This window comes from Homo sapiens, chromosome 6, assembly GCF_000001405.40.
Source record: "Homo sapiens chromosome 6, GRCh38.p14 Primary Assembly".
NCBI classification, from domain to species: Eukaryota; Metazoa; Chordata; class Mammalia; order Primates; family Hominidae; genus Homo; species Homo sapiens.
The window spans coordinates 89,254,244-89,282,035 of NC_000006.12; the positions used below are offsets into that span (position 1 = coordinate 89,254,244).

General features: G+C 44.8%; 1 protein-coding gene across 6 annotated transcripts in view, besides 2 other annotated features; it reads right to left on the minus strand.

The window, feature by feature from the left end:
• Positions 221 to 27,792, minus strand: part of GABRR2 (gamma-aminobutyric acid type A receptor subunit rho2) — a 60,836-nt gene continuing 33,264 nt past the window's right edge. The window contains exons 3-10 of one of the 6 annotated variants that reach the window (XM_047418599.1): positions 17,412 to 17,479; positions 14,768 to 14,991; positions 13,771 to 13,853; positions 13,436 to 13,576; positions 11,370 to 11,522; positions 10,169 to 10,365; positions 3,681 to 3,738; positions 221 to 3,437 (exon numbers count right to left, since the gene is read on the minus strand). In XM_047418599.1, coding sequence (XP_047274555.1) covers positions 3,427 to 3,437; positions 3,681 to 3,738; positions 10,169 to 10,365; positions 11,370 to 11,522; positions 13,436 to 13,576; positions 13,771 to 13,853; positions 14,768 to 14,991; positions 17,412 to 17,479 — 935 coding nt within the window. In that variant the 3' untranslated portion in view covers positions 221 to 3,426. Of the gene's footprint in view, positions 3,739 to 10,168; positions 10,366 to 11,369; positions 11,523 to 13,435; positions 13,577 to 13,770; positions 13,854 to 14,767; positions 17,480 to 17,630; positions 17,661 to 27,792 lie in introns of those variants that run through there. The other 5 variants (XM_011535715.4, XM_011535717.4, XM_011535716.4 and 2 more) reach the window with 5 other exon arrangements.
• Positions 6,301 to 6,360: a silencer, noted in NCBI's record as "silent region_17387". NCBI's record gives its function as "represses an Ori minimal core promoter by ATAC-STARR-seq in GM12878 lymphoblastoid cells {active_cell/tissue: GM12878}" and the evidence as "EXISTENCE:reporter gene assay evidence [ECO:0000049][PMID:35858748]".
• Positions 17,373 to 17,442: an enhancer, noted in NCBI's record as "active region_24820". NCBI's record gives its function as "activates an Ori minimal core promoter by ATAC-STARR-seq in GM12878 lymphoblastoid cells {active_cell/tissue: GM12878}" and the evidence as "EXISTENCE:reporter gene assay evidence [ECO:0000049][PMID:35858748]".

The window sequence follows — 27,792 nt, forward strand, 5'->3', positions numbered from 1 at the left end:
TCATCACTCAATATTTATCAGAAAACACTCCTCAAATTCTGTGATCATTCCCTCCTTTGAGCCACACCCATTAGAGTGTAAGCTTCTTAATGACTGAAGAGTGTTTCCCATTCATTTCTTTACCCGTCACCACCATCCCTCACCTCAGCACAAGACCTTGAGGACAAGTGCTAAATAAATGTTGGCTCCTTGGTGTCAATGAAGTATGTCCAATCACCAGTTTTTGTATAAAACCCATTTCTTTTATTGTAACATTAACATTTTTTCACAGTTTCATATTGGTGAAATCAGGATTCATATTATAATCATTGGCATTCCAGAATTTGATTGTTAGTATTTTTTCTCAGTACATAAAATATGGGTGCATCTTACATTTCACCATGTCTTAGATTCAGTGAAGTAAAGTATCATTCATGCATTCCTGATAACAATTGTGTTTGCTTCTCTGTCTTCCTGCCTCCAGGGTGAATCATCCCATGTTCTCACTATTTCCTTAGTTCCTGTTTTCTACTCCTACCAATGTTGTCTCCACTTTACCTCTTTAAATTTCCTACTTTTCTCAAGTAGTGTCAGACTAGTATACTGTAATAAGGCAATGCTAAATACAATGGTGTCATTGTATCATGGCCCTGCATGATAAAACACTGTTTATGATTCTAAATATGTCTGCTATAGAATTAACTCCAGTTTAACATAGAAGCTAGCAAAAATAAATATTTGTTTTAATTTGTGAACAGGCAACTATGTTATATGAGCCATAATGCATGAAAACAATGCAGTCAGAAGCAGAGAAGGGTTGGAATTAAATAAGACTTACAAGCAAAGCAATATGATATATTTAATGACAATAGAATTATCATTCTTCGAGCAGCACTGTGGCCTGGGAGAGTCTCTATAGATAAAAGGTTTCTGGCCGGGTGTGGTGGCTCACGCCTGTAATCACAGCACTTTGGGAGGCTGAGGCAGGCGGATCACCTGAGGTCAGGAGTTCAAGACCAGGCTGACTAACATGGAGAAACCCCATCTCTACTAAAAAATACAAAAGTTAGCCAGGCATGGTGGCGCATGCCTGTAATCCCAGCTACTCCAGGGCTGAGGCAGGAGAATTGCTTGAACCCGGGAGGCAGAGGTTGTGGTGAGCCAAGATCAAGCCATTGCACTCCAGCCTGAGCAACAAGAGTGAAACTCTGTCTCAGAAAAGAAAAAAAGGTTTCTAAACAAGTCCAGATGCCCTGTACCACCCAATTACCCATATTTATGCATTTTTGTTCTTCATTGGTCTGTGAGACTGGGAAATCTAGTAGTCTTGGGTCCAGCAACTCCATAGTGGGGAAGCTGTCCTCATAAGCACCGGCATGGTGGGGACCTGCCTTGATCCCTAGTGTTGTGGAAAAAGCTAGTCGCTCACCTCCTCTTATCACAGCCTAGGATCCTGCCAAAATGAATGACTTGCCCACAAACCCTGTTCTCTGCAATGGCAAACCTTCCCATTCTCCCCATGCGTCCGCTCAAGCTGGTCTCTTGGCTGGTAGAGCTTCCTGGTCTTTAGGCTGCCCAGCCCAGTGCAGTAGCTACTAGCAACTGTGCTTACTAAGCCCACTTGAGTGTGGATGGTGTAACCAAGGAACTGAGTTTTCAATTTTATTTAACTTCAACTAATTTAAATAATAATAATTATTATTTTAGAGATAGGGTCTCGCTCTGTCACTCAGGCTGGACTGCAGTGGCTTGATCACAGCTCACGGCAGCCTGGAATTCCTGGGCTCAAGCAATCCTCCCGCCTCAGCCTCCTGAGTAGCTAGAACCCCAGGCACACACCACCACACCTGGCTAATATTTTTAATTTTTACTAATTTAAATTTAAATAGACATGTGGCTAGTGGCTACCATATGAGACAGCCCAGATCTAGGATGCATTCTGCTCCATTTCTTCTTCTTAAAATCCTGACCTTCAAGGGGCATCTCAGGGCTGCTTTCTCCATGAGGTCTGTCTCCCTGGTGGGACTGTTTTTCCTCCCTTGGAATTCCCATCTCACACTGAACTATTACTGAGGCACTAAACACTCTTAATCTTATATTATAGATATTTGTGTGGTATTTCCTTTACTAGTTCCTTCTCTGAGAGCTTCGACTACTCTTATTCTTAATTTGGACCCCAATGTACCTAGTGCAGAGATACTTTAAAATGTTTATTGCCTGAATATATAATAGTAACACCGCAATTAACATTAACAATAGGGAATTGACAAGAGTTGCTGTGTAGTAAAGGACTAACCTTTACTAGGAAGCAACCTCTATGCCCTTGGAATGTCCTGTGAGATAGAAGGGTCTTTGTCTACTGGGGCCTTGGGCCACACCAGATAGTCTATGCCAACAATGTGATTTATGATAGGTGCCCTGGACCTCAAGGTACCAGCTTAACCTCTGGAGGGGCAAAAGACTAAAGTCAGCCATGTGGGCAATCAGCTATAAATCCATGACCGACCCCAATAAAAAAACTGTACACCGTGGTGAGCCTGGGTAAGTTTCTCTGGCTGGCAATACTCCATGCACATTGCTACATGTCATTGCTGGGCAAAATTAGTGCTATCTGTGTAACTTCACTGGAGGAGGATAGTTGAAAGTTCTGGACCTGGCCTCTCCTGGACCCTGCCTTATATGCCTAAGAGTAAAAGCAACAGCAAACAGAATGGGTCTGTGGGGTAAGCGGGGTTGAAGGAGGGGAAAGAGCAGAAGTACATCATGCCATATGTAGAATGAGCACAACTTAGAGAAGATCTCTAAGGAAAGAGACTATTTTCTCATTTCTACCGTACCTGGCACAGAGTGGGACCTCAATATTTAATGAATGGTTGAATGGATGGATAAATGAATAATCTCCTCTAATATTGCAGAATCCTGTGGGTTGCCATACTCCCACAGGCCAAATCATTTCCTGTCTGGGATCTCAGCTCTTTTCCCTTCTAGGTAGGCACTTAATCAAGTTCAATGGGTTTACAGGGTGTTTTTTGTTCTTAATTTCCTATCTCCTATCCAGAATGCCCCTAAGCTTGTACTTCAGTTTTTCCTTTTCCCTCCACAACTGACTCCTAGGCAATCTGAGGGTCTAAGAATGTCTAGGAGGCATTTGAATCCTTGTTTATAGGAGGGGAGTTCTTGTGAATTAGTTCACACACAAGAACAGAAGGTCCCAGAGAGATGTGAAGTGTGACGCGAGACAGCATGAACATGGAGCAGCCCCACGGGGTCTGGGGTCAGGGCAGCTGGAAGGCTCCTGGGCTTCTCTGAGAGATGAGTGCTGCTCAGGGTGGTCCAGTAGCTGCTGCATTGTTTGGTGAGGGGCGTGTGGTCAACAAGTCCGTCTGTCAATGACTGGCCAGGCCCCCTCGATGTCTATGCCCTCTTCTAGGAACAGCCTTGGAGCCCCTAGGAAAACACTGACCAATAAATTAAGTTGAAAAATATGTAGGAGGCAGGGAATATCAACCTAGAGTATTTGTCAATGGCATGGGTATTCTGGAAGATACGAAAACCCGTCTGGCCCTTCAGAAGCCCCTTCTTTCTGGCAGCGTTGGCTTCACCACTCAGGCCCAGGTGGACCACTATTTTGTCTTGCCTTTCTTCTTCTGTCAGGATATGGCTTCTGGGGTACCCAGCCAGGCTGTTGGCCTCAGACTCACTGTAGCTTCCATCCAGCATCATGGTTTTTGAATGAAGCATTCCACACATGCACGGGAACTATGGGCAGCAAGCACAAAGAACATCATTAAGCCTTGTGAGGTGGGCAGAGGAGGGGGCCTGGCCCAAGAGCAAAGCCACATTGCTACTCAGAACCACAGAAAGATAGAACTAGAAAGATCTCCAGAGGTTACTTAGTCCAACGATCCTCTACCGTGGCTGCATATTAGAATCATCTGCACAGCTCTTTAAACTGGCCATGCCCGGGCTGCACTTTAGAGCAATTAATTTAAAATTCCCAGGTGATTCTACTGTGTAGCCAGAATTGAGAATCACTGATCTAGTCCAAATCCCTCAGTTGTAGAGACAAAAACTTAAGACCCAGAGAGCTATACGATTCTGAGACCACACAGCTGGTGTCAGAGCAGGACTCTAAATCCACATAGTCTGATTCCAGCTGCAGGACTCCACCTTTCTGTGCATGAATCAAAAGATGATTAGGAGCCAGGCGCAGTGGCTCATGCCTATAATCTCAGTGCTTTGGGAGGTCAAGGCAGGAGGATCGCTTGAGGCCAGTATTTCAAGACCAGCCTGGGCAACATAGTGAGACTCCTTCTCTAAAAAAAAAAAAAAAAAAATGTTTTTTTTAATTAGCCAGGCATGGTGGCATGCACCTGTAGTCCTAGCTACTCAGGAGGCTGAGGCAGGAGGATCACTTGAGCTCAAGAGGTCAAGGCTGCAGTGAGCAGTGATCATGCCACTGCATTCCAGCCTGGGTGACAGAGCAAAACCCTGTCTCTTTTTTTTAAAAAAAAAAGAAAGAAAGAAAAAGATGATGAGGTAGAGAGTGTCCTTATCTTAAAAATTACATTTGAGAGTCAAGGGTCATGGTATCTGCAATGTATTTTTAGACAGTTCAACTGCACCAACAGATACATGCTTATATGGAGAAAATGTATTATGCATTGAATGCATAATACATTTTCTCCATATAAGCATGTATCTGTTGGTGCAGTTTTTGCCACACAAAAATGGCAAAATGTTAGCAATGTTGGATCTAGGTGCTAGGTACCTGAATGTATATGACCCTATTCTTTTAATAGTTTCTGCAAGTATGAAAATGTGTATGACACTCTAAGTGGGAGGAAAGGAAATGGTTTCGCTTGACTTCTCCCCATAGTTTAGTCAGTAGAGAGTGGGCTTCCACTGGTGCCTGGATGCTTGGTGTTGACTGAGAGCAGGAGGCCCACTTGACACATCCAATTGGCGTTGATTTGAATATGTTTCTGACCTGGCTCTCAGCCCTTCAGGGCGTCTGTTTTTCCATCTAGGAAAGTGAAATAATGAAGTTTCACAACCTGCCTCTTATTGTTATGGATCTTGAAACTCTCAGATGAATATCATAAAGCTTTAGAATGCAGAAATAGATGAATGATTTTATGCAGAATTAGAATTACTTGAAGTATTCTTATCCTTGAAGAAATTGTTCGTGGTTTGGGGGCTATTTTTTTTCATCAGGCATGATTGTTTCATTATTAGTTTCTGTGTCTTTTTTCCATCAGTAACACTTCTTTTTTTTTGTTTTGTTTTTTTTGTTTTTGAGATGGAGTCTCACTCTATCCCCCAGTCTGGAGTGCAGTGGCTCGATCTCGGCTCATTGCAACTTCCGCCTCCAAGGGTCAAGCGATTCTCCTGCCTCAGCCTCCTGAGTAGCTGGGATTACAGGTGCCCACCACCATGCCCAGCTAATTTTTGTATTTTTAGTAGAGACAGGGTTTCACCATGTTAGCCAGGCTGGTCTCGAACTCCTGACCTCAAATGATCTGCCTGCCTAGGCCTCCTGAAGTGCTGGGATTACAGGCATTAGCCACTGCACCCAGCCAACAATTTTTGAATAATTATCATAGACTCATAGCTATAAGGGAATTGGGGATAAAAGGTAAGAGGTCATCTCTCTCTCTCTTTTTTTTTTTTTTTGTTTTTTTTGTTTTTTTTGTTTTTTAGACAGGGTCCTGCTTTATTATTACCCAGGTTGGAGTGCAGTGATGCCATCTCAGATCACTGCAGCCTCCACCTCCTGGGCTCAAGGGATCCTCCCACCTCAACCTCCCGAGTAGCTGGGATTACAGGCACACACCACCACACCCAGCTCATTTTTGTATTTTTTGTAAGATGGGGTTTTGCCAAGTTGCCCAGGCTGGTCTCAAATTCCTGGGTTCAAGGGATCCACCTGCCTTGGCTTCCCAAAGTGCTGGGATTAGAGGCATGCACCACCATGCCCAGCCCTATTCAACTCTTTGCATTTAGATATAATCACACCCAAACTGATAAAATTGTGTGATATTATCATTGGGGGGTTATTTATTTATTTAAGGCACAGTTCTTCTTCTCCTTGCTCTAAACTGAAAATCTTTCTGCTAAAATGAAAATAGACTCTTCTCCTAAGATTTTGAGTTCAAATCAGGAAATACCAAAAATTAGGATAAAACCCCTGTTTCCCAGATTGGCTTGCTTCTAAGAAAGAGGAAGTGGCTCTTGGCATGTCAGACAAGGTCTGGCTAATCAGCCAAAGTACTGGAGCAGCTGAGGGGAGGTAAGCCCTGGGCTCCCACGTGTTCCCGCATGCTCTCGCCTGCACTTGTCTGCCCTTCAAACCAGGGGTGGGCCTAACGGGTCCCAGGCAGCTTTTACCTTTACAGAGTGGAAATCACACTTCAGTGAGCATCAGAATCACCTGGGAACTTGCTTAAAATCTTGATTCCAGGGTGCCATCCTCAAAGATTCTGAATCAGTAGACCTAGGGTGTGGTCTAGGGAATCTATTTTTTGAGACCCTGTCTCAAACCCGGGAATCTATTTTTAACAGACTCAGGAGGTGATTCCAGGGAAGGTACTCCATGGCATCCACTTAGGAACCTCAGCTCTATTGGGAAACATTTCAATACTATGAATATTAGTTTCTCTGTGAGGCAGCAGATGGTGCCTTCTCACCTCTGTCTGCTCTCCAGCAACTATGCTTCTTGGTCTTAAATCCTACATTTGACAACAGCAGAGTACGAGCTCTCACCTCAGGATGTCTGTTCTCACACAGACAGAGGGGGAGACTTAGCGGCCTGAGGCCCTCTCCATAGATGACTTCCTTGTCTCTTTAAACAAAGTCATACAGTTGCTGGCAAAGATCCAACATGATATGGAAACAGGGCAAGTTGTGCCGGTGAACCGTTCGTTTGTGAGCCTTGTCAGATGAAGGCTTTGCTATTTTTTTCAACTGCTCTATACAGGAAAGTCTAATGATTTATAAATCAAAAGTGTTTAAATATGGTCCAAAGTCCTGTGATAATGGTCAGTGTACAAATTACTGAAGTTTAAACAAGTCAATTTTCTGAAGTAAAAAATGTTTGACTAGAGCTTTAAAAATAAGCAACCTAGTATAATATATTTGGAGATGTAAACTAAAAATAAAGTTCTAAGCCCCCAAACTGATGAACTGACCCCCCTCTTGGTCAAGGGGACCCCAGAGAAACCTTAAAAACTGAGTTCCCAGTCATGACGAGACAAGAGGCTGAACACACCTTGTTATTCCTCCTCTCTTTTGGGATTTAGACACAACTGACCAGCATTAATGCTGAAATAGAGATTGTAAGACAGAACAGATTCTTTATGGCCATAAGATACCAAATTACAAACAGTACCTAAGGCCATTCTAGGGCCAGGGTGAAGTCACACACCCCTGCGCTTAAAGAATACACTGTGTGCTAACTGCCACAAGGTTTTTCTTTTTCTCTTTCAGCTAAACAAGCACTGGCCTTGAGATAAACAACGTTAAAACAATTTGGGGCTGGTGCGGTGGTTCATGCCTGTAATCCCAGCACTTTGGGAGGCCAAGGTGGGCAGATGGCTTTGACTCCAGAAGTTTGAAACCAGTCTTGGCAACATGGCAAAATCCCATCTCTTTTAAAAATATAAAAACTAGCTGGGCGGGGTGGCGCATGCTTAAGGTCCCAGCTACTTGGGAGGCTGAAGTGGGAGGACAGCATGAGCCCAGGAGATGGAGTGCAGTTAGCAACCACTGCATTCCAGCCTGGGTGACAGAGTCAGACCCTGTCTCAAAAAAAAAAAAAAAAAATTTGCAGCTCACCAACCATCAGACACTGACTAACCAACCAACCCCTGGCCCCTGTTCCACCAGCCATAACTACAGCTTTGATTGGACAAGAGAGTGATTTTAGTAACCTTCTCTTGATAGACCATCAATCATGGACCAGTCCTGGTCAGTTTACAGAGGCTGTTCACTTGAGTGACTTTGTGTCCCTTTTGCATATAGGGTCCAATTGTAATACATTGAAATGTTAAGTCTCCGCCCCAGGGTGAACATGGGTTGTATGTTACATGCACATTTGTTCAATAGGCATGTGTCAGGACTACCTTCATAAATATTCATAAATCTTCCTATAGCCTGTTGAATATGTATATTTAGCCATATTCAGCATGAAGCCCCTACTCCAACACCTTCTCCTTCAAAGTGCCTGTTTCCAGGTCTTTACAGGAGGCTGCACTCCCCAGCCTGCAGGATGGCCACCTTGCAGACTGGAATCCTTTATAAGAAATAAAGTCTCCTTTTTCAAATTTATAAATTTCTGATTTTTTTAAAGTTAACAGAGACAATGTGGAAATACTTGATAGGTATAATGCAGGTGTTGAAAGACAATTTTTGAAAAGGCAACATATTCTCTTTTCCTAAAATTTAAAGGTCCCATTGACCAAAATGTCGTTACATGGCAAAAATAAATTATTTTAATTTTAAAAGCTCCCTTATGCTAAAAGGCTAATGGCCACTTGGTTGTTCATAAATATGAGATTTTCATGTCCCTTTATCTCCACAGCTTTTAGATGAACACCCATTTTGATTAGTGCAATGATTGGCAATGATCAGGTAGCAAGTCAGCATTATTTATTTAGTATTAGGTTGGTGCAAAAGTAATTGCAGTTTATATCATTACTTTTGCACAGACCTAACACTAAAATGAATAAGAGTCTGACTATGAATGGAAAAGACTGCCTCCCTGTGCCAAAGGCTCATGAGCATGGCTTTGTAAAATCTCCCAGTTGTATTCTGTCTCATAGTTTGCAGTTGACCCTTGAACAACACAGGTTTGAACTGTGCAGATCCACTTAGATTTTCTTCCACCTCTGCCACCCCGGAGACAGTAGGACCAAACCTTCTCTTTCGTCCTCCTCCTCAGCCTACTCAGAGTGAAGATGACCAGGATGAAGTCGTTTATGATGATCCACTTCCATTTCATGAATTGTAAAGATATTTTCTCTTCCTTATGATTTTCATAACATTTTCTGTCTAGCTTACTTTATTGTAAGAATACAGTTTATAATACATATACAAAATATGTATTAATCGACTGTTTATCTTATCAGTAAGGCTTCCAGTCAACATGAGGCCATTAGTAGTTAATTTTTGGAGGAGCCAAAAGTTATACTTGGATTTTCTACTGCACAAGGGGTCAGCCCCCCCAACCCCTGCCTTGTTCAAGGATCGACTGTAGTATAATATAGTACAGTACAGTACATTATAGATAGTATGGTATTTTTATTTTATTTTATTTTTGAAATGGGGTCTTGCTCTGTCGCCCAGGCTGGAGTACAGTGGTGCAATCTCAGCTCACTGTAACCTCTGCCTCCCGGGTTCAAGCGATTCTCTTGCCTCAGCCTCCCAAGTAGCTGGGATTACAGGCGTGCACCACCATGCTCGGCTAATTTTTGTATTTTTAGTAGAGATGGGGTTTCACCATGTTGGCCAGGCTGGTGTTGAACTCCTGACCTCAGGTGATCCGCCCACCTCGGCCTCCCAAAGTGCTGGGATTATAGGCGTGAGCCACCACGCCCGGCAGATAGTATAGTATTTCCAATTTCCTTCTGCAGCTACACATAAAAGGTTTTTTTTTAAAGAAATATATATAAGGTATTTAGCTTTAGTCCTTACTGTGGCTGAATTTTCACTGGGCACTGATAAATAAAGGCACTTTTTGTTCTAGAACTCTCCCTTCTCTGGTCATAAGACAGGGAGGCACTGTCCCTAGACATGTTCAGTAATGATAGTGAGAGTTTGTTTGTCTAGATCCTGATACATGTGAAAGATCAAAACAACTTTCACATACATTATCTCATGTGACTCTTACAGTAGAGGTGAGGGTTCTGTAATCTCCCTTTTACAGATGAGAAAACTGAGGCTCAGCATAGGTGTCAAAGTTGAGTCTGAGACCCAAGTCTTCCAGTTCCTAGTCTTTGTCTAAAGACCTTCTGCTTTCTGGAATCCTTTGGGGTAGAAGCCAGAACCTATTCTAAAACAAGATCCTCCTCGTTTTGCACAAACATCTCCTTTTTCTACATGCAACCCCTGCCTCTGCCCCCTGGCCCAGAAGACCTTCATTTTCACCCAGCAGCATGGACTTAGACAAGGGCCGAAGAAGCCCTCTCACCTTCTCCCGCAGCTTCCGTTCCTTGCGCTCCTGCACGGTGGTCAGGTAGTTGACAGCCGCATACTCCAGCACCGAGAGGAACACGAACACAAAGCTGACCCAGAGGTAGATGTCCACGGCCTTGACGTAGGAGACGCGCGGCATGGAGGCATTCACGCCCGTGATGATGGTGGTCATGGTCAGCACCGTCGTGATACCTGCAACACCCGGCCTTAGTTGGGCTGCTGACAGCGGTCTAGAACTGCCCTCATATCTCACTAAGTCACGATTTTACACTCTCTATCTCTTAAACCACATGAGAAAGTCCCAGGTGTGTTTCCACCTCGGAGAGGGGCAAGGATCTGCCCTACTAGCAGCCAGGCCTATTCTCCTCAGAGCCAACCTGCTTGCTTGTCCCATTTTCCTTCAAGCACCTGAAAGACTGGGTTTCTGTGATGTGGCTGACAAAGAGAGGACCTATTCTCATGTGGAATTAAAGACAGCGACTAAAGGACACCTCTGAAGGAACGTTCTCAAACTTCTCATCTTTAGATGAGAGAGAATGTGCCTATTCCTTGAAGTTTGAGAACGTGCCTTCAGAGGTGTGCTTTAGTCGCTGTGGAAGACTGTGGAAATTCCCAGAGGCCCATCATGCGGGATTCTTCTTCACTCTGTCTTGCTGCTTAAACCCTCACCTTTCTCAAAGCCCAACCTAATGTTGTCTAAATTTACAATGACATGTTGTAAACTTTCACTCTGGAATTCAGGGTCTGTAAAAGGCTAAAACACAGCTCGAGGGAACGTGGTCCTCCTTTTCCCACAAATCTCATATTCTGTGCCCTACCTCCAAGCCCTCAGTCTGTCTAAACACGGCCAGCAAATGAAGTTTTTGTATTTACAGAAGGAATTGTTGGCATTTGCAGAATCATCTTGTTTATCTAAATACTGAGCTCTGATATTGCCAGTTGTCGAAGTCTGTACCCCAAATCTTTCTGAAGTGATACAATCACAGTTGATGTTGTTTTAGCTCCCTGTGGCTCTCATAATGTGGAGGAAACTGAGGCCAGCATCTAGATGGTAAAGGCAAGAAACATGAAGTTGCTCCTTCTGACTCTAACAGCTCATCAGTTAAGAAGTCTAAGTAATGATTTTTACTTTTTGTAAACATAGTGATAAGTTGAAAAAAATAACCACCCTACCACACCTTATGAAATGCTTTTACCCAGTGAAACTCTGGCAGGCACAGCTCTGCGGTCGATCCAGAAGGACACCCAGGACAGCATGACCATCAGAGTGGCAGGGAAATATGTTTGGAGCAAGAAGAAGAAGATGTGGCGACGCAACGTGAAGTTAATGTACAGACGGTTGTACCAGCCTAGGGGATGCAGGAAGAAGCCAATGAGGTTCCATCTGAGAGGTGAAAGCAAACTGTGTCCCTGGGAACCCGTCTTTCACTGACTTGGCTCTCCTCAGCAACAGAAAGTTGAAATTAATGACCAGTTGGCTTAATATAATACCTTTCTTTTCCAAAATCTAAGCCCTTTCTCCTATATATAAATATCTTGCCAATATCTAGTACATTTACTATCTCAGTTGGTATTACCTAACTTTTCTTCACAGTATTTTGGGAAACGGCAGAACTAAACAGAAGGGAAGTTTTAGTCGTTTGGGTTTTTGTTTGTTTGTTTTTGAGACAGGGTCTTGCTCTGTAGCCCAGGCTGGAGTACAGTGGCACACTCACAGCTCACTGCAGCCTCAGCCTCCCAAGCTCAAGCGATCCTCCCACCTCAGCTTTCTGAGTAGCTGGAACTACAGGTGTGTGCCACCATGCCCAGCTAAATTTTTTTTCTTATTATTATTTTGTAGAGACAGGGGTTTCACCATGTTGCCTAGGCTATAGTTGTTTGTTCTGTATTTGTAATTTGCAAATTACAACCATATTTCTTGAGTGACTTGCTGCTCAAAAGCATAAGAGGTTGGAATAGTTCTATTTTGTTGAGGCCAGTGCCACTGGGGCAGGAGCTGGGAGAGCTAGGCTCTGGTCACTGTCACCTTTATTGTGAAATTGTCACCTTTATTGTGAGACCCTAATCCTTTATCATGCAAACTCCACATCTGTCACAAAAAGAAATAGGCTGTTCACATGATTCTAAAGTCTGACATTTGGGACATGAGGTAATGAGACATTTAGAGGCTTTTCCAAAGCCTTAGCTAGAGTCAGTTGAGCTTGGTTCAACCCAGGCCTCCAATGCCCAGGCGAGTGTACAGTTCACTGGCACTAAGTATATTATTCACAATATGGTACAACCATCACCACTATTCATTGCCAGAACTTGTTCATCATCCCACACAGAAACTCTGCACCCATTACACAATAACTCTCCATTCCCCCTCCCATGAGTTCCTGGGAACCTTTATTCTATTTCTCTCTCTTTATTTTTTTGAATAGAGACAGGGTCTCGCTCTATTGCCCAGGCTGGAGTGCAATGGCACAATCATAGCTCACTGCAGCCTCAAACTCCTGTGCTCAAGCAATCCTCCCTCCTCAGCCTCCTGAGTAGTTAGGACCAGGGGCATGTGTCACCATGCCTGGCTAATTTCTTTTCTTCTTTTTTTTTTTTTTTTTTGAGACGGAGTATCACTCTGTCCCCCAGGCTGGAGTGCAGTGGCGCAATCTCAGCTCACTGCAACCTTTGCCTCCTGGGTTCAAGCAATTCTCCTGTCTCAGCCTCCCGAGTAGCTGGGATTACAGGTGCATACCACCATGCTTGGCTAATTTTTATATTTTTAGTAGAGATGGGGTTTTGCCATGTTGGCCAGGCTGGTCTCGAACTCCTGGTAGGTAGAAGCCAGAACCTATTCTAGGCTACATTATTTTAATAATCAAAATTTAGGCTGAGCATGATGGCTCACGCCTGTAGTCCCAGCACTTTGGGAGGCCGAGGTAGGAGGATTGCTTAAGTCCAGGAGTTCGAGACCAGCTTGGGCAACATAGTAAGACCTCATCTCTACAAAAAAATTTTAAAAATTAGCTGGACATGGTGGCAGCGCCTGTAGTCCCAGCTACTCAGGAGGCTGACGTGGGAGGATCACCTGAGCCTGGGAGGTTGAGGCTGCAGTGAACCATGATTTCGCCACTACACTCCAGCTTGGGAGACAGAGTGAGACCTTGTCTCAAAACAAAAAACAAAACACACACAAAACATATTTTCCTGGGGTTAAGGCTGAAGAAGAATTCAAATGTGCTTTCTTGCACATTTGAATCAGATTGTGGCAAAAGATAGCTACCAGTGCTGCTGTAGAAGGCCAGCCTGGAAGTTGTGTGAAATTTCTGAATCAGAAACTGAGACAAGGAGATCTTCTCATCTGTTTTTAGGGATTCATCCCCATTCTTCCAGTACAGCATTAGATCTTCATCTGTATAGGCATCTTTGGGAAGAGGAAAACAAGTTAATTTGACTCCTTCGCTTCTGATGCAGGGTGAAGTAACAGGGAAATCCTATGCCAGTCCAGAAGTAAATAGGTCTTAACGCTGGCGGGCAGTGCTCAGTCTCATGATTACTAAAATGGCACAAAGATCAGAGAGGAAAGAAAGTGAAGGAATTAGGAATGCTGATACTTACAGCTCTCCAGCTCCAAAGAACAGGTCTGGGAGTCCAGGGGAAAGTGGCTGAAGTCCATGTTGCACATGGCAGTGACCGTAATCCTAGACAACCCAGAGTCACATATTGGCTTGTGCGGTGAATTATTGGCTCCTACATCTGCCCAGAGCAAGAAGGCACAGCACACAACTGAGTAGCTGCCTCCTCACATCTGCTGCAGAAGTTTGGAAACAGTTATCTGAGTTATAGAACCTTAACTTCTAGAGTTTTGTCTTCTGTAGTAGAGTATTAGTGCTCTGCCAGATCCCCATTACTGGGCTGGTGCTCCCCTTCCCCAGCCACTGGTGGTGCTGGCTGCTAATGGCTCTCTCCTGTGCCTCTCTCTGGGCTTTGCCCTCAGCCAGCAGGGCCACCTCCTCCAGAGATGCCTGGGAGGCCCCCTCATCAACTTCCACCAAAGGCCAGAAGTGTCTAGTATCAGCAATGCATTCTGGTGAACTGTACAAGCAGACCAGGGGGATGTGGGACAATGAGCTTCATCAGTGACAAGTAAGAAAAAAGCATTTTTTTAAGATGTGGAACATGACTTCTTATGTGACTCCCCGTACTCCAGAAGCCAATCTGCAATAGCACTCAAAACACAGTAGCTATTTTTTTGGGGGACGGGGGGGGGCTTTTTTTTTAATCTATTTTTTTAAAAGCTTTTTTTTTAATCTTTATTATCAATCAACTAGAATCACATGCTCTCAGGGAACAGAAGGTACAGTATGTGGAAGGTCATTGTCTCATTCAGGCCAAAGTAGTCTTCTCACCCAAGCTTAAGACCCCCAGTGATGGGGAAGTTGTCCCCTGCTGGGGTGGCCATGTCATGTTTAGATAGTTCTGACTAGCATCAGAAGGCTCCTCCCATCCACGAACCCACAGACCCAACCGCAGTGACAGTCTTCAGGGCCAAAGGGCCTGACCACACATACCAGAAAGGCACTGGACAGAGGAACAATGGCCCCCAGACAGCTACCTCATGCTGTACAGCACGTGTCCATCTGGGAACACCCTCAGCATGATGTTGTCAGTGGTGGTGTCATGAGTGAACGATCTTTTGGAGTGAACAAAGAAGACATCAGGGACCCAGATCTTCTTCACCAGCCGGCCATCGAAGGTCATGCTCTTGTTGCTGGCGCTGGAGAAAGCTAGCCTCTCATCCTTCCAGTAATGCCGCAGGTACAGGGTCATAGTGAAGTCCTGTGGGAGCCGGGGTGAGACCAGACAAAAATGGCTTAGAAGGTTTTCTTCCTTACAATCAACCCACCATTCACTACTGTGGTGAACATCTCAGGCTCAGCATCCAGATTCAGAGGTAACAGTTCTGCAGCCCTGTGGCAGGATGGCACTGTGCAGTTGGAAAGAGAATAGCTCATTTTTATGCATCATGCGCTTGGAGCCCAGGAGACTGAGCAACCAGCCCCTCAGGCTTTGCAAATGAAAACTGCAGCTGTGATGCTCGCAGCCTGGCCTGGTGGCCAGTGGGGAAGGATTTCTCCAAAGCTCTGCTCTCTCTCACTTAGACCTCTGCACACATGGTTCCTTACCCATTGGCTAACCATTCCATTTCAGCTTAGTGGCCACTTCCAGAAACCTGGATTGTCGAATGTCTCTCTTAGGAGGATTCTTGCCGTTAGGCTTATAAGATCCTTGAAGGAAAAATTGTGTCTTGCCCACCATTGCATCCCCATTCATCACAGAATTTAGTGCCTGGCAAAGCACAGAGTAGATGCTCAATAGATATTTGCTGGTTGAAAGATCGGGGAGATAAATGGATGAGGGGATGGGCAGCTGCATACCTACTATAATTTCTGCCTGAAATCTTACCTTGTTCAAAAGTGTCTCCTTGCCTGCATGGTTGATTCCTTAAGAGTTTGGTCCTTCCCCATAGCCAAAGCTGACACAGGTGCAAATGGAAAAATAACTGCCCAAAAGATCCTCTTCTGGGTGGAGGAAGGCTGGAAAGAGTTCGTGGTTGTGGTGGGCCCAGAGGGAGCCCCAGGAAGAGAGGAAAGAATGAGTGAGCACTGGGATAGTGCATGCATGAGAGTCTGTCCCTAGACTGATCCTGGCTCCCAGTGCATCAGCAGCTGCCAGGAACTCCCCCTCCACACACACGGAGAGCAGCCAATACCTGAGTAGGAAGAGACCAGCCAAATGCCCCTTCTGGCTATTTCCCTTCTCGGTCACAAAGCTGAAGAGCAGGCTCTGAGGGCCATTGCCCAGGGGAAGTGCAGATTCACAAACACCAGCTGTGTATGGCTACCTTGGATGTTACCTACCTACTGCTGGAGTCCACCTGCCTTCCCACAGGTTGGTGGTTGCTCTGTGAGAGGCAGGTCATTCTAGATACCTCTCCCTGTGATCCTGAGCCACACAGGACAAAGTCTTCACACTCAGCACAGACATCTGGGTTGATTCAGTCTAGGGCAGCCAGGCTGTTCTAGACACAGCTGGTTCTGGAACTGGGCTCAGCTGTTGGATATCCAAAGGGGCTGGCAATGTAAAATCTAGCATCTTGGAAACTGTCATACCTGCACCTTTCACACCTGGGCCCCATATTTTACCAGGTGCTGGAGCTATGGGGGGTGTACAACCTCAGTATCAATCATATCAGCTCTGCCATGCTGGGTCCGTTAGGAGCAAGGGGCGTTCCCACTCTTCAAGGGCAGATGACAGCATTGCAAGTGGGATGCAGTGCTGGCAAGTGGAGCCTCCCCGACTTTTATTTATTCCACACATTTTCAGGGCCCCTGGGGGACCACACTGGACTAGACTTGGAGATATTGGGGTAAAGAAAAACATGAGTCCCTGCATTCATGGAGCTTATAGTCAAGCATGGAAGACAACCAATATATAAGAAAACTCCCCAAATAAATATCTAGCACAATTATAAATGATGATGTAGGCTATGAAGAAAAAACAGAAATTCTTTAGATCAGGAGGTCAGGGAAGCCTCTTTGAAGAAGTCTCATTTTAGCTAAGTCCTGAAGGATAAGAAGGAGATAGCTATGGGGAGGGCCAGAGCTGAAGCATGCTCAAGATCCCTGAGGCAGAAGAAAGAGGAAGTTTGCAAACTGAAAGAGAGGCATACAGAAGAAGGAAGAGAGGAGGCTGGGGCCCTGGGGTGGGGGGCACACCTCTCCACTGTGAGCCTTGCAGGACACCCAGGCCTGTGGTGGTAGAATTGGGGTAGACATGGAGTGGGGGACACTGCCACAAAGTGAGTAGGGGGACTGCACTTGCAGCAGGAACTGAACATCAGAAAGCTGCAAAATTTCAGCCTGAAACTGTCCACCTCCAGTACCCCACCAGGTGTGGTTCGCCTGATCACTTGCATTATTTGTGGAGTGTGTTGAAAATGCAAAGTATCACTCCCAGAGATTCTGAATCAGGAAGTGTGAAATGGGGCCCAGAAACCCACATTTAACCAACTCCTTAGGTTATTTTTACCCACGCAGCGAGAATGCCCGCTTTAGATTTTACTGCTCCAGGGCCGACTTCCAAGCGCCCATTTTATCACCTCCAGCTCCCGCTCTGCCCACACAGGCACAGCCTGCACCACCGAGGCCCACTACACTACAGGCTCTCACGCTGTGTCACTGGAGGCCGCTGCATACCATGTCCACCTCGGAGATGCTGTCCAGGCTCTCCACCTGTACGTCCACGCCCACCGGGATGGCAGGGCCTGCAGAAGAGCAGAGACAGCTGGTTAAGGCACCTTCCTCTCTACCTTTGGGCTGGGAACAGCCCCAGTTGGCTTCCCCCGGGGAGCCAGGACTGGAGCAGAGTAGGGCAGAGGTTTAGAATTCTATGAGGGTTTCTTGCTGGTTCCTGACCTGTTGGGTGTCTGAGCTCTCTCCACAACGTCAGGGACTGTGCCTGCCTTATGTGCCATCCCTGGGCCAGGCTGAATGTGTAATCCATGCTTATTGGATGAATCAATGAGCTGATCACCACTTTTTACATCCCAGGGCTGTCTCTGTAGGGTAGAGGTAATAATGTGGCTGTAGTGCCTGACTGGAGACCCTGGTCATTGGGCCTCCTGTGACATCTGAAAAAGAGAATGAGGCCTAAAAGCATCCAGCTCTGGGCTGGGCACCTGCATGCCCTGGTCTGAATTCATTCAGTCATTCAGGCTATACCTACAGAGACCCTGACATATAGCTGGGGTCCAGCCCTCTAGAGGCCTTCAACCCAGGGTGAGACAAGATCTTCTCTGTGCGATGTCACATCACAGCAAAGGACAATGAAACCTTGTCAGGCCATGTCAGATTAGAAGTATGAGAAAACCCAGCACGGAAACTAGCACTGAACTTCATCTGGCCTACGGCAAGATTTCTAAAACTGAGTTTGTCTGTGGGGTCCTGTCCTTTTCCTTGAGCTGGGTGATGGTTACGTAGATAAGTTCACTTTAGGAGAATGTAGTGAGTGGTACACTTACAATGGGTGCACTTTTCTGGGTGTATGTTATGCTTTAGTAAAATGTTTTTTGGATTTTAATTTTTTTTAAACTTAGAAAGGGAAAAACCAGCAACCTGCATCTATCAGGCGTGTTAATGAATGCCATTACACTGCAAGTCAGGTGCAGCTGGGCTGGGCCTCAGCGGGAGAGGGCATTGTCCAGAGGCCAGCCTAGCTGCACGTGGGTCCTCTGAGCCCTGACCAGGGAACACAGGATCAGGACGTTGTGACCCACTGTGGTCTGAGCGGGGAGAACCTTGGGGGGACTTGGTGAGTCTGAGTCCTGAGGAATGAGCAGAACTGGAAGGGCTGAGACTTTGGCCATGGGCGGGGAAGGAGGACCAGAGATTCCCACACTGCGTACGTAGGAACTAGAAAGCCCAGTCCTCAGCTCCCGCCCAAATGCAGGGTAGAGGTCCTCTTGGAAGTAGTCCCGGGTGGGAGATGGCCTCGCTGACTCCCCCACGGCTCCCCATAGGCTTGCAAACACTTGAAATCCCACCGTTAAAGATTTCCTGTTTTGGCTGAGCCTGATAGAATGGAAGTATTTTATTCATTACTGGTGAGGTTGGGTGACTATTTTCTGTGTTCTTAAACGTGAAAGAAAATAAGTACAATGCTTTAATTTTTCCCTCTCAGATAAATCAGGGTATAAGTTGAACGTTCTATTTTTCTGTGTTCCTCAGATGATAGCTAAGATCAGGGCCCATGAGAAATCTTTGCTCTGACAGTCGTCCGTATTCTCTTCTTTTGAGACAGAGTCTCGCTCTGTTGCCCAGGCTGGAGTACAGTGGCACAATCTTGGCTCACTGCAACCTCTGCCTCCCAGGTTTAAGCAATTCTCCTGCTTCAGCCTCCTGAGTGGCTGGAATTACAGGCGCCTGCCACCACACCTGGCTAATTTTTTGTATTTTTAGTAGAGGCCAGGGTTTCACCATGTTGGTCAGGCTGGTCTCAAACTCCTGACCAAAAGTGATCCGCCCGCCTCGGCCTCCCAAAGTGCTGGGATTAGAGGCATGAGCCACCGCACCGGCCTGCATTCTCTTTTTATTCCAGGCTCCAGAAGTGCTTTGAGGGTGCCAGAAATGGGATGGTCCCTGTGGGAGGAGGCCCCTCCTCAGGGCTTACCAATTAACCTATCTTTCTCCCCTGAGGGCCTTGCAACCTGAAGGAGGGTGTGTGGGCAGCCTGGCCAGAGCTGTCTCCTAGTACCTAGATCCCGCTCCCTGCTAGAGGCTCCCAACACCATTCATTCCCTCATCCTGGGGACCCTTCATTAGTCTGAGGTGTTAAAATGGCCCAGAGTGGCACTTTAAATTCTGGGGTAGCACAGCCTCCTGTGGAAGATGTACTGTACTCTCCCTGTTCCCCATCTCTCCTGTGCCTACTTTCTCTAAAGTGCCAGGTGACCTGCTGGATACAGCAGTCCCAAGAGCCGCAGGGAAGAAACAATACAGCGATGGCCCTCTTGGATTCATGTTCTAGTGGCCTGGTTTTCAGATAACATGCACAGTGTTTGACCAGGAGCTAGTTTTGGCTCAGGCATTTTCCAGATAAAATGTCAGCTGGCTTGGTGTTAGTTACTGTGTCTGTCTGTTCTCAGGGCCTGGCTTGCTCTTCAGAGCTCCAGTGCCCTTTTAAGGAGAAATTTGATAAAAACTGCAAGGGAGGCATCAGTGCTCTGGAGGTATTGCCCATGCGGAGTGCAGGTCAAGGCCTCAGATGCCCCAGGTTGTTGGAGGAAAACAATCTTTCTATTCAGGAGGTCCCAAAGCCACATTCAGGGAAACTCGCACCTCAAGTTTCAACAGAGACCAAAGGCCCTGCCCTCCTTGGTCTGAGCGCTGCCTTTGACCTGCCCCACTGCCTGGCTCTCAAGATCTCCACTTTGTGGCCCTTCCCAACCTAGATTTGGGAGAAATTCTTGCAAATTACTGGTCTTTCTTCTTCTTCCATGAACAATTTTATGTTTTGAGTGGGGCTAAGTCCTAACAAGTCCTATTTAGAAGGAAAGTAGTCTCATTAAACTAATGAGGCTTGGCCCCTTAACACTGCTGTAGGGTTTTCTGCTTTAAGAGAGGGGCTGGGCTGGGTGAAGTGGCTCACATCAGTAATCCCAACACTTTGGGAAGCCAAGGTGGGTGGATCATCTGAACCTAGGAGTTCAAGACCAGCCTCAATAACACGGCGAAACCCTGTCTCTACAGAAAATACAAAAATTAGTTGGGCATGGTGGCATGCACCTGTAGTCCCAGCTGCTCAGGAGACTGAGGTGGAGAATTGCTTGAGCCAGGGAGGTCCAGGCTTCAGTAAGCTGTGAGCGTGCGCCACTGCACTCCAGCATGGGCAATAGAGTGAGACCCTGTCTGTAAATAAATAATTTTTAAAAAAATAATGAGGGATCTGGTAACGCAAAGAGACTTCTCTTTGGGATTTCTCTTCTCTGGTGAGATTTCAGGCAGTGTAGCCAGTTAGGTGACAAATTCAAGGCAGCATAAGGGAAATACATGCTTAGCCAAGGGCTCTTCTTGGTTCCTAACTTTCCGCTTTAATTTTTCTTCTCATGGTCCTGGAAAGCACACTTTAGGGATTTATCACATCCAGCAAAACACTGAAAAAGATAATAAATCATGTCCAAATCAGGTTCACTCCAGGAATGCAAAACTGGTTTTAACACTAGAAAATCAATCAAGGAATTCCAGTAATAGCAAGCTAAGTAATTCACACTAACATTTCTATTGAAAATTTAAAAATTGGACAAAAATAGAAAAATTTACTTTTTTTTCTGTTTTTAAGACAAAGTCTCGCTCTGTCACCCAGGCTGGAGTGCAGTGGCATGATCTCGGCTCACTGCAACCTCTACCTCCCGGGTTCAAGCGATTCTCATGCCTCAGCCTCCCAAGTAGCTGGGATTACAGGTGTGCACCACCACACCTGGCTAATTCTTGTAGTTTTAGTAGAGATGGAGTTTCACCATCTTGGCCAGGCTGGTCTGAAACTCCTGGCCTCAAGTGATCCGCCCGCCTCAGCCTCCCAAAGTGCTGAGATTACAGGTGTGAACCAATGTGCCAGAAGAAAAACTTACTTTTGGAGGCATCAAAGTTAACAAAACAGGCCAGGATTGGGGGTCTAGGTGAAGCAGAGTCCCAAGGGGATGGCCCGGTATTTGGATCTACTTCTCTTAGGGGCATTTGCCAATTCAGGAGGGGAATTGAGAGGCAGAGAGATGCTTTTGATGACTTCAAGGGGCTGTGGGACAGGATTAGGGCCCAAGTGCTCATTTAGTGGAGCTTCGTACTTCATATATTGTACATCCCAAAGACTGCATTCTAGAAATGAAGGTGGACCAGAGTAGATAAACCTTTGTAGGGTTCGCAGCTTAAATTATGTCAGTCACCGAACACGGATTAAAGCTCTCCGGAGTGGTAGTCCCCTCAAGCAACCTCGGGTGTTAATGCCACCAGGCACCTGGCAGAAATAAACATAAATCCCCTCTGGAGGAAGATAACATCATCCTTGGTCTCTAATTTTTTCTATTAAAATATTATAAATATAAATTATAATATAAAATATAAATATAAATTATAAATCATTATTTATATTATATACATTATAAATCATTATTTATATTATATACATTATAAATTATTATTTATATTATTATATAAATAAGTTCATAAGCAAAAATAAGCAGGCACATCAGAAAATAAGGCATACACAATAACCAGCAGGAAAATAAAGAATATAAACAGATCCATAGGGGTCTTTGGATACTGAAATAAGATAGACTTTAAAATATCGAAGTTTACTATGTGCAAATAGATTTTTAAACATTAAGATTGAGAGTTTCTGCATAAAACTGGAAAACTATAAAACTTAGAATCAATATAAATTTCCACATTAACAGACTACAAAAGAAAATTCTTTACCTCAATAATTGCAGAAAAGCGTTTGTTAAAATCAGTACCTATTTATGATTTTTTAAAAAATGAATAGAAGGGAATTTTCTCAATGTGATGAAGGAGAGCTACCAAAAAATCTACATCAAATACCATCTTTAATAGTAAACCGTTGTAAGATTTCCTTGGAAATTGTAAATAAGACAAGAATGCCATTGATGCCACTACCATTGTCCTAAAGGTTTTAGCCAGTGCAATAGGAAAAGAAAAAAAAAGTTATGACCGTTGGAAAGTTATGACATTATTTGCATGTTGTATGATTGAGTACATAAAATTTAAAAATCGTAGATAAACTATTAGACTGATAAAAGAGTTTAACAATATTGTTAAATATAGAGTCAGTATATAAAAATCAATTACATTTCTCTATACCAGCAGAGTTTTAAAAAATGATTTTTTTAAAGTATCATTTATGAAATCATCAAAAGTACCTAGAAATAAGTACATAGAAATAGGTCTATGAAACTATCTGAAGTCCTCCATGTAGAAAACTATGAAACATTATTGAGAGAAATTAAAGCAGACCTAAATAAATGGAGAAATATATCATGTTCATGTATTGGAATATTCACTATTTGACATGATTAGGCTTTCTGTCCCCACCTAAATCTCATCTTTAATTGTAATCCTCATTATCCCCATCATCCCCACTTGTCAGACCAGGTGGAGGTAACTGAATCATGGGGGGTGGTTTTCCCCATGCTGTTCTCGTGATAGTAAGTGAGTTCTCTCAAGATCTGATGGTTTTATAAGGGGCTCTTCCCCACTTTGCTCAGCACTTCTCCGTCCTGCTGCCTTGTGAAGAAGGTGCCTTGCTTCTCCTTCACCTTCTGCCCTGACTGTAAGTTTCCTGAGGCTTCCCAAGCCGTGCTGAACTGTGAGTCAATTAAACCTCTTTCCTTTATAAATTACCCAGTCTCAGGCAGTTATTTATAGCAGCATGAGAATAACTATGTAATACAAATAACTGACAAAGAGCTAGTATACAGAATATATAAATAACTCCTAAGAGTTCCATTAAGAACAAGTCAAATAACCCAATACAAAAACAAGCAAGAGATTTGAATAGGCATTTCACAAAAGAGGAAATTAACAATAAACATATTTGTGTGATGGGTACACTAGAAGCCCAATGCCCACCATTACACATGTATTTAACAAAAACACACATGTACCTGAATCTAAAATCTAAAAAAAAAAGAAAAGAAAATAATTACTACTACCACAACAACAAAAATGATAAACATCTGGAAAGGTGCTCAACCTCATTAATAGCTCCATTAAAACCACAATAAGATATTCTTACTATATACTAACAAAAGTGGCTCAAATGAATGGGTGACTATCCCAGGTGTTGGCAAGGATATGGGGCAACAGGAACTCTCATACCTTGCCAGTGGTGGGCGGGGGTGGGGGGGGGTGGGGGCTGCAAATTGGTACCACTACCTTTCAATGCATTACCTAGCAAAATGGAAGCTATGTACACCCCATGACCCAGGGACTCTACTTCGAGAAATGTATGTGAATGTGCACCAGAAGACATACACAAAAATATTCACAAAGCATTCTTTGTTATAGCTAAAAGCTGGAAATCTCCCAAATGTCTGTCTCTAGTATAGGATACATTGTGGTGTATTCATACAATGGAATTTCATAGTTACATGCAATAACATAAGAGATTTTCATCTTATGGATGAATATGTACGGTATGCTTTCATTTATATACAATTCCAAAACATACAAAGCTAAATTATGGGGTTGAAGATTATGTATGTTGGAGATGAAAGAATAAAAAGTGAAGGAAGTAATGGCCAAAAGGTACCTGACTGGAATGGCATATGGATAGGTGATGGGTTTCTGGGGAATAGAAATATTATTTTTCTTGATCTGAATGATGGTTCACCTGGGTGTTTATTTTAAGCTATTTCACTGTACACTTGTTTAGCGTCCTTTTCTCAATGTGTGTTATAGCTCAAAGTTTTAAAAATAGTAAAGAAAAATAACACCTATTAATATTTGAGAAACCAGTATTTGGAAACAGTGACTTAAAAGCTTGTCTGAGAAGGTGAGGCTGAGGGGCTTGAGTCTCACATCTAGGCAAACCGACTAGGGTCTCAACTTAAACTCTACCTTTCTTCTAGGGGGCTTTTCCTGAGCCCCTGGGTAAGGTTGTGGGGTCCCCACAGTGTCCCATTCTTTTCCTAGTGTAACACTCACCTGCTTCCTTCATCAACTTTCAGGGAGAGCAACTGTCTTTCTGCTTTGTCAGCCTCCAAAATCTGCACTCAAGAAAACACCAGAACCCCCAACTCCCACTCACCCACACTAGTGTGGGGCGGGGAGGTTGGCATATCAATAGAGACCAAGATCTAAGGTCAAATGGCACAAAGTTCCACTGAGGTGTGGGAGGAAGAGGAGGACGGGAGGTGTTGATGGCTTTGTGGTCCCACAGGTGGGTCATTCACCAACCTGGACTCAGGAAGCGGGCCCCTGAATTTCCTACTCCTGGCTTCCCCAGCCAGCTCTCCAGTGGTTGAGGGGCCTCTGTTTGCTGTGGCTCACAGTATGGGCCAGTACCAAGAATGACCAATACCAAGAAGTGGATGATAAGCCCGAGAAACCGCCATGCCCTGTGCATGGGCTGCAAGACGAAGCCAGCTCCCGAGCAGGGTGGAGCCGTCTCTCTGTCCCTCAGATCCCCGGCCTGGCCCTGCATCCCCTCTCTGGTCCTTCATGCCACCCACAGCTGCTCCTGACAGTTTGCTTGTGTTTGTGCTCTGTTATCCACCATCATCCTCGTGTTGAGATTGTCTGTGTGAGGCAGGCAGCGGGGAGCCCTGTGTCCATGGAGTCCCTGAAGACCGGTGAAGGGATTCTGTGAACACCCTGAAACTGCATATAAAAAAAGTGTGCATGCGTGTGTGTGTGTGTGCATGCATGCGGGTGTGTGCTCACTCTGGTGTGTGTGTGACAGAGACAGAGAGAGGCAGATATTTTTAATTACTATTCTGGGAAACAGACTTTCAAAGGACTGTGATTCAAAAAACTTTTTTTTGGTTTATTTTTAGAGATAGGGTCTTGTTCTGTCACCCAGGTAGGAGTGCAGTGGCAAGATCATAGCTCACTATAACCTGGAACTCCTGGCCTTAAGGGATCCTCCCTCCTCAGGCTCCCAAAACACTGGGATTACAGGTGTGAGCCACTATGCCAGCTACAAAAAAAGTTAAAAAAAAAAAAAACCCCACTGATACACTGCCTGTATCTGAATTTTGTCACTATCATTTCTTAGTAGTGTGACTTTGTACATACATAATTTCTCTTTCCCTCAGTTTCCTCATCTCTAAAATAGGTATAATAATTGTACCAACTTCATATGCTTATCAGGCTATCATTAGGATTAAATGTGCTCATCCATGTAAAGCCCATGGAAAGGTTTGACATATAAGATGTTCTCCATAAATAGTTACACTGTCTGGCTGTGGTGGCTCACGCCTGTAATCCCAGCACTTTGGGAGGCTGAGGCAGGTGGGGCACCTGAAGCCAAGAGTTAGAGACTAGCCTGGCCAACATGGCAAAATCCCATCTCTACTAAAAATACAAGAATTAGCCAGGTGTGGGGGCTCATGCCTGTAATCTCAGCTACTTGGAGGCTGAGGTAGGAGAATCGCTTGAACCCGGGAAGTGGAGGTTGCAGTGAGCCAAGATCGTGCCACTATATTCCAGCCTGAATGACAGAGACTTAGTCTAAAAACAAATATATATATATATATATATATATATATATATATATATATATACATACATATACATATACACATACACACACATAGTTACATCAACATTGTCATTATTATTATGGCCTAACTCACTTACCTAGAGGACAGAGCCTGAGGCTCTTACTCCCATACTTCCCTCAGCACTCACAGAGCAGACAGTCTGGTCTGAAGGGGGCTGAATACACACTGGAGGAAGGAATGACTCTGCCAACCTCTTAGCACTGGTGTCTATGTCACTGAGGGTCACACTCTGCAAATCTGATTTCCTGAGGGGATCACAGGCACCCAAGATGGGTTGCCTGCCATGCCAGCTTACTGCCCGCTGCCCCTAGACTCCACAGGCCCTAACAAGGGTCCTGAACTGTCTCCTGGCCCTGGGCTCCAACGCTGCTGTCATGGGTGAATGCGGTTTTGCTCAGCTCCAGCAGAGTGGGCGGAAATAGAGCATTCCAACCTGTGCCATGGAATAAAAGGTGGAAGCCAGCAGCAGAAAAATCTGTGAGCCACACTTGAAGAAAAGTTGGTCATTGTCAGCAATGTGTGCTCCCAGTTATTATGGAGATTTTTAAAAAACTATTTCTGAAGTTCTGGATTATCAGTCAAGGAGAACTTGCCACATTACACTGAAACAAGAACACAGCAAGGATTTTCCCAAGGAAATGCTGTGCTCAGTGAATTCTTCAGGCTCTCTCACAAGGCTTCGCCTTAGGATGAAATTTTGTCAAACTTGTGAAATGAATTGAAGCAAAAATAAGTAATAACGATTTTTCACTGTTTCTCTGAATTTGATATTTTAAGGGTCACGATATTTAAAGAAATAGATCCACATCAGAGATGAATTTGAATAAGACCTTCCATGTGTCAGTGCTTCCTAGGGTCCCTGTGCCTGCACTGACTGAGTGGTTCATACCTGTCCTGACTGTGTCCACCAGACCAAGCCCTGAGCAGACTGCAATTCGCAATATGGAGATGCATAGGCCGCAGTTCCTTCCTCCAGGAGCTTAAAATCCGTGGAGAGGAGCAACTGACTCTGTTTCAGGACACATCACAGAAGTGAAAAAGAAGCATTCATAATATGATCCAGAGGAAGGATCAGTGAAGTCCAACGAAAGGCATTGGAGAACATTTCACACAAGAGACAGCTTTTGCTGAATTTAGGCCACAGGCACTGGAGAAAGCATCACCAACGGGCTGCATTTGGGTTGGACTTTGAAGCACTAGTTACTTCTAACAGGTAGCGGGAGGAAGAAGGGCACTTCAGGTTGTGTGATGAGCATAAGTGTAGTGTGGCAAGTAGATCATTCCCCCACACTTCTCAGATGTGCACGTTTTTTTTTAAAGGCAGTTTCTTTGATCCATCTCACAAGCCCTTATGTCTGTTAAGATGTCTGTTAAGTGTGGAAAAGTTGTAATGAACAGCAGCTCCGTGTAGTCCAGGTTTTAAAGTGTTTCAGATTTCCTCCCACCGTAGATGACCTGTGGCACAGAGGCAAAAGGGGGCCCTTGAATCCTTGCTTGCTGGCTGGTCTCTGCCACTAAGCGCTTCTCTGGACTGGTGTCTGCTGAGGTCCAAAGGATCTCATCTGTCTTTTGGCAAATCCATGGTCCTCTGGCCTCCAGCAGGGAAATCCTCTCACGCTAGGGCCTCTGGGTCCAGACCGGAGCCTATGTTGGTCTGCTGTCCATCTCAGCACCCGCGTCTGCTTACTGCACACTGAGCACTCATGGACTTCAGAAGGCTGTCATGCCCCTCTCTGACCTGGTGGGGGCAGTCACTCAGCTTCAACTCATCCGTCCAGCCA